The 13,255-nt window shown below is 40.4% G+C and overlaps 1 protein-coding gene and 1 long non-coding RNA gene across 25 annotated transcripts in view, besides 2 other annotated features; both read right to left on the reverse strand.

Moving 5' to 3' along the window:
* DDX60L (DExD/H-box 60 like) overlaps positions 1–3,749 on the reverse strand; it is a 123,758-nt gene extending 120,009 nt beyond the window's left edge. For 12 of the 24 annotated variants that reach the window (XM_011532405.2, XM_047416401.1, XM_047416400.1 and 9 more), the window contains exon 1: positions 3,634–3,749. The gene's annotated coding sequence lies outside the window, so the exon portion shown is untranslated. Of the gene's footprint in view, positions 1–2,542; positions 2,819–2,892; positions 3,061–3,451 lie in introns of all 24 variants that reach the window. The other 12 variants (XM_047416399.1, XM_005263341.5, XM_011532403.3 and 9 more) reach the window with 5 other exon arrangements.
* Positions 3,768–4,007: an enhancer, noted in NCBI's record as "active region_22125". NCBI's record gives its function as "activates an Ori minimal core promoter by ATAC-STARR-seq in GM12878 lymphoblastoid cells {active_cell/tissue: GM12878}" and the evidence as "EXISTENCE:reporter gene assay evidence [ECO:0000049][PMID:35858748]".
* LOC107986198 (uncharacterized) overlaps positions 10,007–13,255 on the reverse strand; it is a 44,091-nt gene continuing 40,842 nt past the window's right edge. Inside the window, exon 4 of the long non-coding RNA XR_001741448.3 lies at positions 10,007–12,565. This is a non-coding gene — a long non-coding RNA (uncharacterized LOC107986198). The remainder of the gene's footprint in view (positions 12,566–13,255) is intronic.
* Positions 10,144–11,343: an enhancer, noted in NCBI's record as "CDK7 strongly-dependent group 2 enhancer chr4:169408038-169409237 (GRCh37/hg19 assembly coordinates)". NCBI's record gives its function as "activates an origin of replication core promoter dependent on BRD2, BRD4, P300/CBP, MED14 and CDK7 cofactors, with strong dependence on CDK7, by STARR-seq in HCT116 cells {active_cell/tissue: HCT116}" and the evidence as "EXISTENCE:reporter gene assay evidence [ECO:0000049][PMID:35650434]".

Genomic DNA, 13,255 nt, shown 5'->3' on the forward strand with positions numbered 1-13,255 from the left:
CACTGAGAAGCAGTGATCTGGCCAATGACTACATTTTCCCCATTCTTTTGCATCTGGAGATAGCCATGAAATTAGTCTTACCAATGGAACGTGAGTGGAAGTGATAGCCAGACTTTCGAGAAATAGGTATACCTTCTCTATTCTTCTCTTTTAAAAAGTTAGGTGCAAAGAACATTAAGACTCCAGGGAACAGTGGAACCACTATATGAAAGAAACTGGGTCCCTGAATCACTATTGGGCCGACTGGCCAGGAAAATCTGCTTTGAACTCTTAGAAGGACAATATATATAAATTTCTATTGTGTAATGCCACTGAAATTTGTAAGTTGTAATTGCTACCGAAGTTAGCATTCCCTTACTGCTACAGAAATTGGTACAAAAGTGAAATCTTGGCTGGGCGCGGTGGCTCACGTCTGTAATCCCAGCACTTTGGGAGGCCAAGGCGGACGGATCACAAGGTCAGGAGATCGAGACCATCCTGGCTAACATGGTGAAACCCTGTCTCTACTAAAAATACAAAAAATTAGCCGGGCGTGGTGGCAGGCGCCTGTAGTCCCGGCTACTCAGGAGGCTGAGGCAGGAGAATGGCATAAACCTGGGAGGCGGAGCTTGCAGTGAGCCGAGATCACGCCACTGCACTCCAGCCTGGGCGACAGAGCAAGACTCTGTCTAAAAAAAAAAAAAAGTGAAATCCTTCCTATCATTGCATAATGGTATAGTGCTATCGTTCTTTTAATCTAAAAATCCATGAATTGCAAGATACACCATCATTTTATGTACCACTAATTTTCTTAATACTAACAATTAAACCATAACATACCACAGGTTTGTAATTTTCATCCTCATCTTAGATGTAAAAAGAGAAGACACAGATTATAAAACCAATCAAACATGGTATGTATCTCCACCCTAATGGACAGATAATAGGCAGTGAGAAACTAGGCTTCTTGGGCTTAAAAGTTGGAAACCCAGGTGATGCAAAGCAAAATATCTGGTAAAAATCATCCCCTTCAAAACTAGGAAGCCAACCACATGCCAACAAGCCTGATGCTCACAGAAAAGTGATTGGAAAAGGTTGATGGTCAATGTCTATAGTGTTTTAGTTGCTGTTTTTGAGGAGCTATGACCAAGGAAGAATGGGAAAGAGAAATGTCTTAAGAAGGAACTGGGTGGTATGAAAGCAGAGCTGGAAAGAAGAGAATTGGCTGGACACAGCGCCTCATACCTATAATCCCAGCCCTTTGGGAAGCTGATGTGGGAGGACTGCTCAAGGCCAAGAGTTGGAGACCAACCTGGGCAACAAAATGAGACCACATCCCTATTTTAAAAAGGAAGGGAAGCGAAGGGGAGGGGAGGGGAGGGGAAAAGAGGAGAAGAAGGAAGGGAGCCAAGAAATTTGGGTCGCACAGGTGACAGCTTCTGTACTGCAAATAAAAAGTGATAGGACAAAAAAAAAAGAAAAAAAACACCTTGCTCAACAAAGACTCATAAAGAATTCTCAGTTAAACAGAAGGACTTAGCCTTGCTGCAAGTATTAGGTGGAGGTGTTACCCTCCCAGGCCAGACTATCATTTCAAATGAACTTAAGACAGATTATGCTAATTTGAGAGGGAATTAGGATGAAAATAGAAACTCTCTGGGTGTAATTAACGGCATAGGGAACTAACTAGAGCATAAGAAGCTGGATACATTTCTTAGAGAATTGTATTTCCAAATAAACTATGAGCTGCCTTAAAAATGGTTACATCAGTAAAACAAGCAGCAGGTTATAAAAAAGGGTGATATCAGTAAATCAACCAGCAGGTCTCCATACTTACAAAGCAGAAAATGAGCCTGCAGCAGGGAAAACCACAGAGATTTCCACCCACATCAACATAGCCGTGGATGATAATTAACATGGGTATTTTATTAAAAGCCATAAAGCTAATCCTGAGAAGAATTTTTAAAAATATATAATTCATATTAGAAGTATTTCTTTCACAGGGAGTCGTCGGAGTCTGTCTAAAGTAGATAAAACAAAAGACTGATTTGTAAGCATATAATTTATAAGCAACCAAGAAAGAAATGTATATCTTTGGAGTGGTAACGCCTCAGGAGAACTAAAACTGTGAGACTAAGTATGAAGGGGAAAGTAGTAGAGAAGGGCATTTAATTTTTGTTTTATGTCTTTCTCTTCTGCTTCAAATAAAACTGATCAATTATGACCCAGCATACCATGGGGTATCATACAGCAATTACTAAGTAAGACTGACAGGTACCAATAAATCATGAACCAAGAAAAGCATACCAGTATGACAGCCAAAATATCTTTTAAAGTGTATGGATCTAGAGATAGACAGATGATGGATCGATGGATGGACGGATGGTTGGATGGCTGGATGATGGATGGATGGATGGATGGATGGATGGATGGATGGATGGATAGAGAGATAGGAGCTATAGACAAAAACTTGTCTCTTTGTAGAGTATCAGGAAGGATTCACACTAAACTATCCCCAATATCTTTGGGATAGAAGGCGAAGAGCCTTGGAAGCATAACTCACCCTCATTTATTTTAGTACCCTCAACTCTCAGCACCTGAGTTCCACCAAACTTCAAACTGCAAATCTTAGATTGAATGGTATGTTACTGTTTTCAGGAGAACACTCGAAATCATGAAGGTCTGTATGTCGTTGATGTTATGGTTTGGACTTCTTATTGTGTCTTTAAAGGACTTGCTTCTGTTTGGTTCTGACCGCTTTTTCTAGCAGTCATTAGGAGCTTTCATAATCCTTAAGGCCCCATCACGGATGATGTCAGCTTCTTTGATTATGGAAAACCTTGAGAAGTTTATTATAAATTTATCAATGTAACTTTGTAAACAAAAGAGAAGCGGGAAAAAAGAACAAAGTACCTTTCCAGAGAAATAGTAAAACCTTATTTCCGCTATTAAGAGCTTAAATCCGGCCGGGCGCGGTGGCTCACGCCTGTAATCCCAGCACTTTGGGCGGCCTAGGCGGGCGGGTCACGAGGTCAGGAGATCGAGACCATCCTGGCCTAACATGGTGAAACCCCGTCTCTACTAAAAATAAAAAATAAAAAATAAAAAAAAATTAGCCGGGCGTGGTGGCGGGTGCCTGTAGTCCCAGCTACTCGGGAGGTTGAGGCAGGAGAATAGCGTGAACCCGGAAGGTGGAGGTTGCAGTGAGCAGAGATAACGCCACTGCACTCCAGCCTGGGCGACAGAGCGAGACTGACTCAAAAAAAAAAAAAAAAAAAAAGCTTAAATACAAGACGGAAAAAAGGGAAGCGGCTTGCTGCCTGTCAATGTCCAGGTTCGAATGGCTGTGCTCAGATGTGGTGACCCTTACTTTCTCCTCAGCACCCCAGATCCCCAGGCCCCCTCGGGTGCAGAGGACCCGTTAAATGCCTGAGCACTCTCCTCTCTCACGGTGGTTGTCCCTCTTCCCTACCTCTCCGCGAAGCTGCCGCCCGAGCCCAGTGGGCGCCCCAGCTTCCCTCGCCCGGCGCGCACGAAGCCACCAGGCCACCTCCCCGCCCGGTCCATCTGGATGTTGAAGGAATCCTAGAACCCCCGCGGGACAGCTCCGCTCCAGGGTCCCTAGCGACACCCGACGTCACCCGCAATCCTCACCCCGGCCGCCGAACCTGCTAGGTCCAAAGAGCTTCGGAGCTGCACGCCCCGCGGGGAGGAGGTGGAGCAGAGGAGACCGAGCGCAGAGCCTGGCGTCGGACTGGGCGCTCTGAGCCACACAGCAGCCAGCGCCTGAGTTTTTATCTAGGGAGTTAGTTTCGGTTTCTTTTCTCCACCGCGAGGCCTTTTCGATTTCCGCAGTTTTCTGGAGGTAGAATATAGGTCTGCATTGGTTTACTCTGAGAATCTTAGGGAAGTAATAGTAGAAGCGATGATATGCTATCTGGGACATGCATGTAATTGTAAAGGGAAAGAAAGCAGAGAAATCTGGGACTCTAAACAAGGAATTGAGGCTGAGAGTAAATGCAGCACGCTAAGCACTATGAAAGTCTGCGGTGAGGTGTGGCGTTTTTCTTTTCTGGCAAGGTACTGGACAGGCAAAAATGGAGTAAAAAAGGATTAGGGGCTTTGAGTTTCTGTCCTAAGAAGTTCATTTTATGAAAAATTTCCAATAGTATAACTGTCCAGTGTGAACATTTGAAAGACCAATCATCTATCACAGAGAATTTAAATTGAGAAGAAGAATGCTCTTTAGTTTTGTCATCAAGCTCATTAATGTTTGAAATTCGAGTTTCAACCCCAGCCCATCATGGTCTTTAGTGCTCCAGACGCTTAATTCCATGACGTTATGCATGTGCAGAATATATTGAGATTCAAGGTGGTGGTGAGGGTGCCCCAGTAACGGCATGGGGTAATAAATGGAGAGAAATCGAAACCGGAAGTTCTGTCTTCAAGAAAAGGAAAGGGTGGAAGTGACTTGTTCACAATAGAAAGAGCCCAGAAGAACAAAGTTTTTTCTCAGACTCTGGAATATAAAGTGGCTTCGAAAAGGAGGTGAAAACATTGCTCACTTCTGTCAGGATTTTTCTTTAATTTTATGTTTGGTTGAAAATAGTTATGATTCTCTTTCTCAATGAGGATGACATTGAGAAAGAACCTGAAATGACTCATGATTAAGTCATGAGTTCATCTCAGATGAATTCCTCTCTAGCATCTGATACTGGACCTTTGTATCATAAGAATGCATTTGCTAGCAGCAGAAAATTGGGCTTTGCTGTAAAAGCATTCATTGAGCTTTTTATGTGCCAGGCAATAGGCTAAGCCCTTAACATGTATTATCACATTAAATCTCACAGAAATCCCATGAGCAACTTTACTGTTGCTATTTTATGGATGAGGTAAATAAGGCTTAGAGAATTCAATTACTTGTCGATGACCCTACAGGTAGTTAATGGTAGCCAAGACTTCAAAATTTAATTCCAAAGATAATATCTACAATATTCTCTGTATATATTATCTCATTCCAGTTCTTTTAAATACTACAGTGTCATTATTCCTCCCCCAAAGCACATACAATTTAATGGGGATTTCCTCTTTTGGTTGTAGAAGTGGGCCCTACATGTTCTTAATATAATTGACTGTCTGCTGTTGTTTTTCTCTCTTAAAGATATAGATGTATCAGGTGGGGATTCCCTAGATGTTAACTCCACACATCCCACTTCCCACCGCAAAGTATATGTACAATGCACATAAGCAGACTCTACTCCAAATCAATATCCAGTTCTCTTCCACTTTAATAATATGTTACCATAACTCCAGCCTGGACATTATCCAGAAACTTGAAAATCATAAACTCCATTTCCACTTTTTAGAGACTTCCCCCTTGCCTCAATCTCTCAGTCTCCTTAGGAGCCCCACTCTTTCACCTCCCCAGGATCAACTCTGTGAACAGGCACTGAACCTTCCTCTCACTAACATTCTCAACTGCTTCATCCACTCTCTTTCCTCTGCACCTTCACTGCAACTTGATCACCTCAATCTAGTAAACCATTTTTTGCCCTTACCAGGACATTGAAGGAAATTGTCTAATATTTTTCACCTCAGATTTACTGTTTATGACTATAGGTTCCTGATCTTTTTTACAGTGGCCCTTAAAACCCTACAGCATCTTGCTGTTCTCTTCAAGTCCACTAAGAATATATCTGTTTTAAAGAGACTCCTTTTAACTGTCTGACACCTCCATCTAGTCCAAGAAGCCCATGACATGCTCCACATACAATATAACCACTCCCTTTTGAGTTGGTTACCTCCAGCTTCCTCAGGAATCTCACTCCATTCCTATATTGTTAACCTCTCTCTATTTACAGCTGTGGTAGACTGAATAATGGTCTCCCAAAGACATCTATGTCCTAATCCTTGTACCTATAAATATGTCATCTTCTGTTGCAAAAAGAACTTTGCAGATATTCCTAAGAATCTTGAGATGGGGAAATTACCCTGGATTATCTGGGGACCTGATATAATCAGAAGGGTCCTTATAAGAGGGAAGGACTATTATCAAAAAGGAACCAGGACAAGGATAATGTGGGAAATTATCAGGATTTCAAGACTGCAAAGGATGGTAAAAGTAAGAGACTCACTGCTGGGAAAACGTACTCTGGAGAAAAAGTCATGAGTACAGCTGGACAACCTTTTGCTAGTGCTTCAAAAAGATCTCTGTGACATACACAGGAAATCCAAAAGATTTCTGAGAATATCAGCAGAAACACTGCCAGCTTGAACTGAAAGGTACAGAGAGAGAATAAAATGAAAGACGGTTATAGGACTCCCAAAATTCCATAAGCAATAAACAGTCTGATAAAACTATTCAGCCCCAAACTTGTGCTATCTTTCATGAAGGATGACTCTGAGGGCAGAGCCTAGAGACACAAATGGTTATTCACAGGCCTTAAAACCTATGGAGTTAGCCTTGCAGATTTTTGAAATTTCTTGGCTTTTTCTCCTTCCATTTTCTCCCTTTGTGAACAGGAATATCTGTAACTGGTACCCTATTCCTGTTCCACCATTGTATTTTTGGAGCAAATAACTTGTTTTCTAGTCTTAAAGCTTCACATATGGAGAGAAATTTTGCCTCAGGATGGTTCATACCCAAAGTCTCAACTATACCTGATTTAATCATTTAGGTCTTTTCAGCAGATGAGATTTAGATGGGATTTTTGGACTTAAGTTGATACTACAATAGATTAGGACTTTGGGGGGACCTTGGAATGGCTCATTTTGCATATGGAATTGATGAGAATGTTTGGGGCAGAGAGTGCAATGACAAATAAATGGCTCCCAAAGCTGTGCATGCCCTAATCCCCAGAATGTGTGCATGTTACCTTACAGGGCAAAATGAACTTTGCATGTGATTAATTTAAAGATCTTGAGATGGAGGATTATCCTAGATTTTCCAGAGTAGGCCCGATGTAATCTCAAGGGTCCTTGTAAGAGAGAAATGGGAGATCAGAGGAGAGAGAAGATGCTGTGCTGCTGGCTTATACATGGAGAAAGGGACCACAAGCTAAGTAATACATGTGCCCTGTAGAAGCTGGAAAAGGTAAGGAAACAGACTCCCCGTTAGACCCCCTAGAAATAATGTAGCCCTACCAATACCTTGATTTTTAGGCTTCGGACCTCCAGAATTGTAACAAATGTGTGTTTTAAGTCACCAAGTTTGTGGTAACTTGCTATAGCAACAATAGGAATCTAATGCAACTGGCATTTACTATTCATTCCATTAAAATGATAAAGTCACTTTCCCCTCCAAAACAATTACAAGAATGAGCCCTGCCCTATTTCACTTTTTTTTTTTTTTTTTTTTTTGACGGAGTCTTGCTGTCGCCTAGGCTGGAGTACAGTAGCATGATCTCGGCTCACTGCAGCCTCTGCCCCCCGGGTTCCAGCGATTCTCCTGCCTCAGCCACCTGGTTAGCTGAGATTACAAGTGCATGCCACCATGCCTGGCTAATTTTTGTATTTTTAGTAGAGATGGGGTTTCACCATGTTGGCCAGGCTGGTTTCGAACTCCTGACCTCAGGTGATCTGCCCGCCTCAACCTCCCAAAGTGCTGGGATTACAGGTGTGAACTACCACACCAGGGCCTCATCTCCTCCTTTTGATCATGGCACTTCATAAGGGTATACAGTCATCATCTCCACTTCTCCTTCAAAGTCCTAAAGTTTATTGGTCTAGTCTATCTTTAGACCAGAATCTGCCCTGAAGCTCCTCTGCCAAACTCATTCATGATGACCTATTAATTGCCAAATTCAAACAGTGCTATGTAGTCCACGATTTATTGACCTATTGGTGATATTCAAGATTTTATACCAGCCTCTCCTTTCTTTTTCTTTTCTTTTCTTTTTTTTTAACTTGAATCAGGGTCTTGATCTGTCTCCCAGGCTGGAGTGCAATGGCATGATCTTGGCTCACCACAGTTGATACATCTGAATTCCATATTCTCTTTTATGTCATTCCTTCCACTCACTAGAATGAGCCTCATGTGTTGTCATCTGGTTTATTGCAAAAGCCTATTCATTTCCTGACTCCAGCCTGTTCTCTCCATTCTGTTTTCCACTCTCCTGCCAGGGTAATTTCTCTAGCATGTAAACCTGATCATGTTACTCCCTGTCTTAAAATCCATTAGCATTTCCTCATTGCTTTCAGATTAATCTGCCTATTGGTATTTCATCTTTTTTTAGAGCTCCCAAACACTATACCTTAATGGTGACAAGTAAGTGTTTTGATTCAGAGGATCTCTCTAATAACAGTTCCATCACGTATTAGCTTCAGTGTATTGGGTAAGTTAACCTCTGTCTTTCATCTCTAAAACGGGAGTTAAAAACAATCCACAGAGTTGTTAAAGGATTAAGTGAATTCAATGTTGTAAAGAGATCAGACACAAAGCAATAGGATGCAGGTATCATTATTATTATTCTCTTCAGGAAATACTGAGAACCATGAATGTAGCACTAGGTAGCTTGTCCTTCCTTGAGTTATGAGACAGATAACAGGGTCTTACTCTGTCTTAAAAAGTCTTAAAGCCTTGTGTTGAGTGGCAACAGTAATATCAATCCATATGCATTCAAACATCGTAATTTCTGGACATTCCTTTCTAGGGATTCACTAAACATGTATGTATGGTGACCTACTACGCCAGACACTTTTTATACACTGATACAAAATATTAAAAACTCCTTCCTTCAGAGTTTACATTCTAGTAAAGAATATAAACAATAACAAGAGAAGTAAAAAGTCCATTGTGTTAGATAAAAATAAGCTATAAGAGAAAAAATACATAGAGAAGAGGAGATATCAAATCCTGATGGGAAAAGAAGATGAAATTTTAGATAGGATAGACAGGGAAAGTCCCACTAAGAAGGTGACTTGACTAAAGATTGGAAGGAAGTTAGGCCATTCTTTTTTCTTGGAGAGACCAAGCCTGGCTGAGGGACAGGGAAATCCCTGAGATAGAGTGAGCCATGTGGGTTCAAGGAGCATTAGAGAGGCCTGTGTGACTGAAGCTGAAGGACTAGGCAAGAGTGGGAGAATGTCACAAAGATAAGGTGAGGAGGCAGATCATGCCTGATCCCAGAGAACAAAAGAGACTGTGACTTTTACTTTGAATGTGATAAGAAGGCATGTCATGGCAAATACATTGAGATTTTATCTTATTTATAATTTACTTTTATTAAATATTTGAACAATTCATGTATACATGTTCCTTTTGTTTTGGATATATGTTAAAGAAAAAATCAAGAAATGAAATTTAATATAAAAATAGTATAACAAATTGTATTCCTTACGTGTTTGACAATCTAACACTGGATTTTTTTCTTTTTTGGTTTGTTTTTTCTCTAATACTGATCATTGTTCTAGTGGCTTTTTTGACAGTTTTTGAGACAAAATTAAGTCAAGATAATGTAATATGTAGCTGTCCCTAGTTATCCATGGGGAACTAGTTCCAGGACCCTCTTGGATACTAAAATCCATGGATACTCAAGTCCCTTATGAAATGGCATATTTGCATATAAATTTTAAATCATCTCTAGATTACTTATAATACTTAAGACAATGTAAATACTATGTAAACAGTTATACTGTATTGTTTAGAGAATGACAAGAAAAAAGTATACATGTTCAATATTTCTGAATATCTTTGATCCATGGTTAGTTGAATCCACAGATGTAGAAGCCACAGAAGGCTGACTATATTATTTCATATATCTATTGTCTTATAAATTTTAAATATACTGCTCATTTTCCTATCCATGTGTTTTTTCTTATTGAATTGCAAGGCCACATCTTGCCAAGGTTTCCTTTCATTTTTTTAACTTGCCTTTTCTTCTTTTTAAATGAAGATTTTGTTTTAGTTTCACAGTTAGGAGCTTTTAAAAGTCATCAGATTTATCGCACTGTGCCTTTATATTTCCTTCATTTGCCCTTATGGATAGAAAACTCCTTCACTACCATAGAGCCAAAAAACAAACAAACAAAAAGGCATGTATTTTATTATGGTTATTTTTGGTTTTGTTTTTTCCATTTAGCACCTGAATTTATGTTGGTATATGGTGTGAGGTTTGATGGCCTAAGTGTGTTTAGTGAATGCCTCAGAGTTAATTCTTCAGACAGATGGCTGGTAAGCCAGGCACTGCCATCTGAAGTGACCCTGATGGGGACAGGGACCAGAGCAGGCCAGGGAGCAGGGTATGCACTGCAGCTGATCTCTCGGGTTTTGGAGACTTGATCCTACACCCTTGCTTTTAGGTGTGAACTTGCATTGCTGGGACAGTAGACCTTAGTCCTTTCTGTGGGGAACTGATTGCATTCCAGGCCTTCTGCCCTGGAAGGGGTCTGCCCTATCACCAACATCCTCACCCCTACATGATTCAGCAGGCTCTTCACTCTTGACTCACAGTGGTAAAACTCCACCCCTTTTTACTCATAACCTCTGCCTGGGCTCACTCCCTTGATCTGAATTAATATACTCTCATAAAGCTACTTCTTTTTTTCTTCAGAGGAATAACTGAAGTCCTCATCCATCCCCCGTGGCTTTCTACTTGATCAGTGTCCCCCTATCAACTTTCTGACCCACTGTCATCCGCAGCCCCCACCTCTCTAGCTGCATACCACTTGGGTTTCTCAGAAAAGCTCAAAGGACGAGGCTTCACCCTTTATGCTACTGAATTCCATTTATCTCCTTATTACTCACCGTCCACACCTATGATCATTGACTGATTTAAAATCTCCCCACCTCCCCCAGTCACTTTTCATACCAGACATAAACACCAGTGCGTAATAGCTGCCTACCCAGCCCAGTTAGAAGCTCCCAATTCCTCAGAGTGGCCTGAGGCAGAATAGTGTCCCTAAGGTCATCTCAGCTTCTAGATCCCAAGTCTGATTCTCTTTCCTTGCCTTCTCACTCATCTGCTAAGCTTGTTTATTGGGCAACACTAAGCAAAGTTAATGATTATTCCAGTCTTTAACTAGGACGTGAGAAGCTCTCTCCCCATCTTCACCCATTTCTGTGAAGCTTTCAGGGACTATGGGCCTCGCACTGATAGCACCTCCCCAGGCTGGGCTGGCCCAGACAGTCGAAGAGTAGGACCAGCCACTTCTCAGCCCAGCTGACATTTGGCAGCTTTGTGATTTTGGATAAGACATCTTCTCTTGGGAGGTCAGACAAGATCAACTCTTCCAGCTATGACATTGCGTGAGGCAATGAAGAGGGGAAAGTCCATGAATGGAAGGTGGAACTTGATTGGATCTGTTTTGTGGGTTCAGGAGAGGTCCTATCACAACTCACTGGAGGTAGGCAAGGTAGGTGAAGACTTCCATGGAAACTTCTGGCTCTGGGGTGCCTGCTTCACTGATGATTGAGTGGGCATCCTAAAGGGTACACCTCTGTCAAAGTAATTCAAAGTCCTGCTCATCATTCAGACTTGGCTTGTCAGGAATCAGGTACACTTGGATAACCTAGCCTTAATTCCATTCAATTTCCTTTTATCTCTTAGAAAAATATGATTACAGTTGTTCCTCAGTATCCAAGAGGGATTGGTTTCAGGACTCCCTGCAGATACCAAAATCTACAGATGCTCAAGTTCCTTATAAAAAAAAATGGTGTAGTGTTTTATATAATCTAGACACATCTTCCCATATACTTTAAATCATCTCCAGATTCCTTACAATACCTAATACAATGTAAATGCTTTATAAATAGGTGTTATACTATATTGTTTTTATTTGTATTATGTTTCATTGTTGTATTGTTGGCTTTTTAAAAATATTTTGGATGCACTGTTGGTTGAATTACCAAATGTAGAGTCCACGGAGGGCTGACTGCATTTTTAGGCTTATAATGCCAACATTTCTTTGACAAGTTCACTCTGTGTTATATTAATTTAGCTTTCATCTGCACAATCATTAGTACCATATTCAATTTATAATTCATAAATAATAAAGCATATTAACAAATGCATATGCTGTCTCTATGGAAAAGTAATTACCTAAAAATGTTATAAATAATCTGTTTTGATTTTACCCTGCAGAAAGTCTTCTTAAGAAACAATATATTCAATGAAACTACAGTCACAGTTACAGAAGTCAAACGAGCACACTGGGTCTGTGATATTTCTACAACAGGCTTTTTCAACACCTGTTAATCAGTCAATCAGAGGAAACCTCAGGGGCTGAAGATACGCCAGCTTGGTGGAAATTCCTTCCCAAAATAGCAATAGCTGAGCAAATTGCTAGGCTGACAGAAGTAGAGTATGCACAGTTCTTGGGATTTTGTGTGAGACAGCAACTGTCTTCGACGGTTGGCATTTTATCAAAGTTTAAATTCTTTGGTCCAACAGCTGATTTCCTCCTTTGTCATATTCTTTCCTATTTGCTTCCCCAGGCAGTGACAGCCATGTCCTTCCACATTAGACTTCTTGGGTAAGCAGCTTCTGAAATTGTTCTACAGCTGTTAGTAGCTGTCTGGCAGAGACCACTCCATTTGCAAGGTTGCTGAATATCGCTAAGTATCTCCATGAGGCATATAAAATGCAAACTTTAAGAGAAACAAAATATTGTTCATTTTGATTTAGGTCAAATAAATGTCAAAGCCTTTCTAAATAACTAATTATCTTGGTAGATTTGCCTTTTCTTTCTAGTAGAGGAAAAAAAAATCACCCTATACAGTTTATTGATGTCTTCATACGTAGTAAAATGTCAAAAGCAACTCAGTTTAAAGCATTAAAACTTCCAGCCATGCAAAGAGTCTTAACTTTTTTTAAGTTATATTCGGACTTCAAAGACTATTGATTTTCTTCCTGTTTCCCTTAGCATAATATAATCGGCATTTTTCCTTTAATATAAACACATCAGAAAAATCATATTTTATGGCTACTTTAAAATTCCATGAGTTTAAGCCATTCCATAACATGCACATTTAGATTGCTTTGATTTTTTCTTCTATAAATAATACAGAATTAAATGTGTTTTTATGTAAAGTGTTTACTGTAGTTAGGATTCTGTCCTTGGAACAGATCAGAGAGAGAGTGGATCAAAGGTTATGACATTTTAAAAGTAGCCAGATGAAGGTGAATGTTCATACAGTATATGCAGAATATGGTTCGCTTGTATATGGGTCTGATTTGCAAATCAGCTCACAAGAGCTGATCCACAGTAGAGGAAATCTGGTTTAAGATTTTTAAAGTCAGTAAAGTTTTTTTTTATTCTCCAAATAGAAACATACTGC

This window comes from Homo sapiens, chromosome 4 (genome assembly GCF_000001405.40).
Source record: "Homo sapiens chromosome 4, GRCh38.p14 Primary Assembly".
In the NCBI taxonomy this organism is placed as follows: domain Eukaryota; kingdom Metazoa; phylum Chordata; class Mammalia; order Primates; family Hominidae; genus Homo; species Homo sapiens.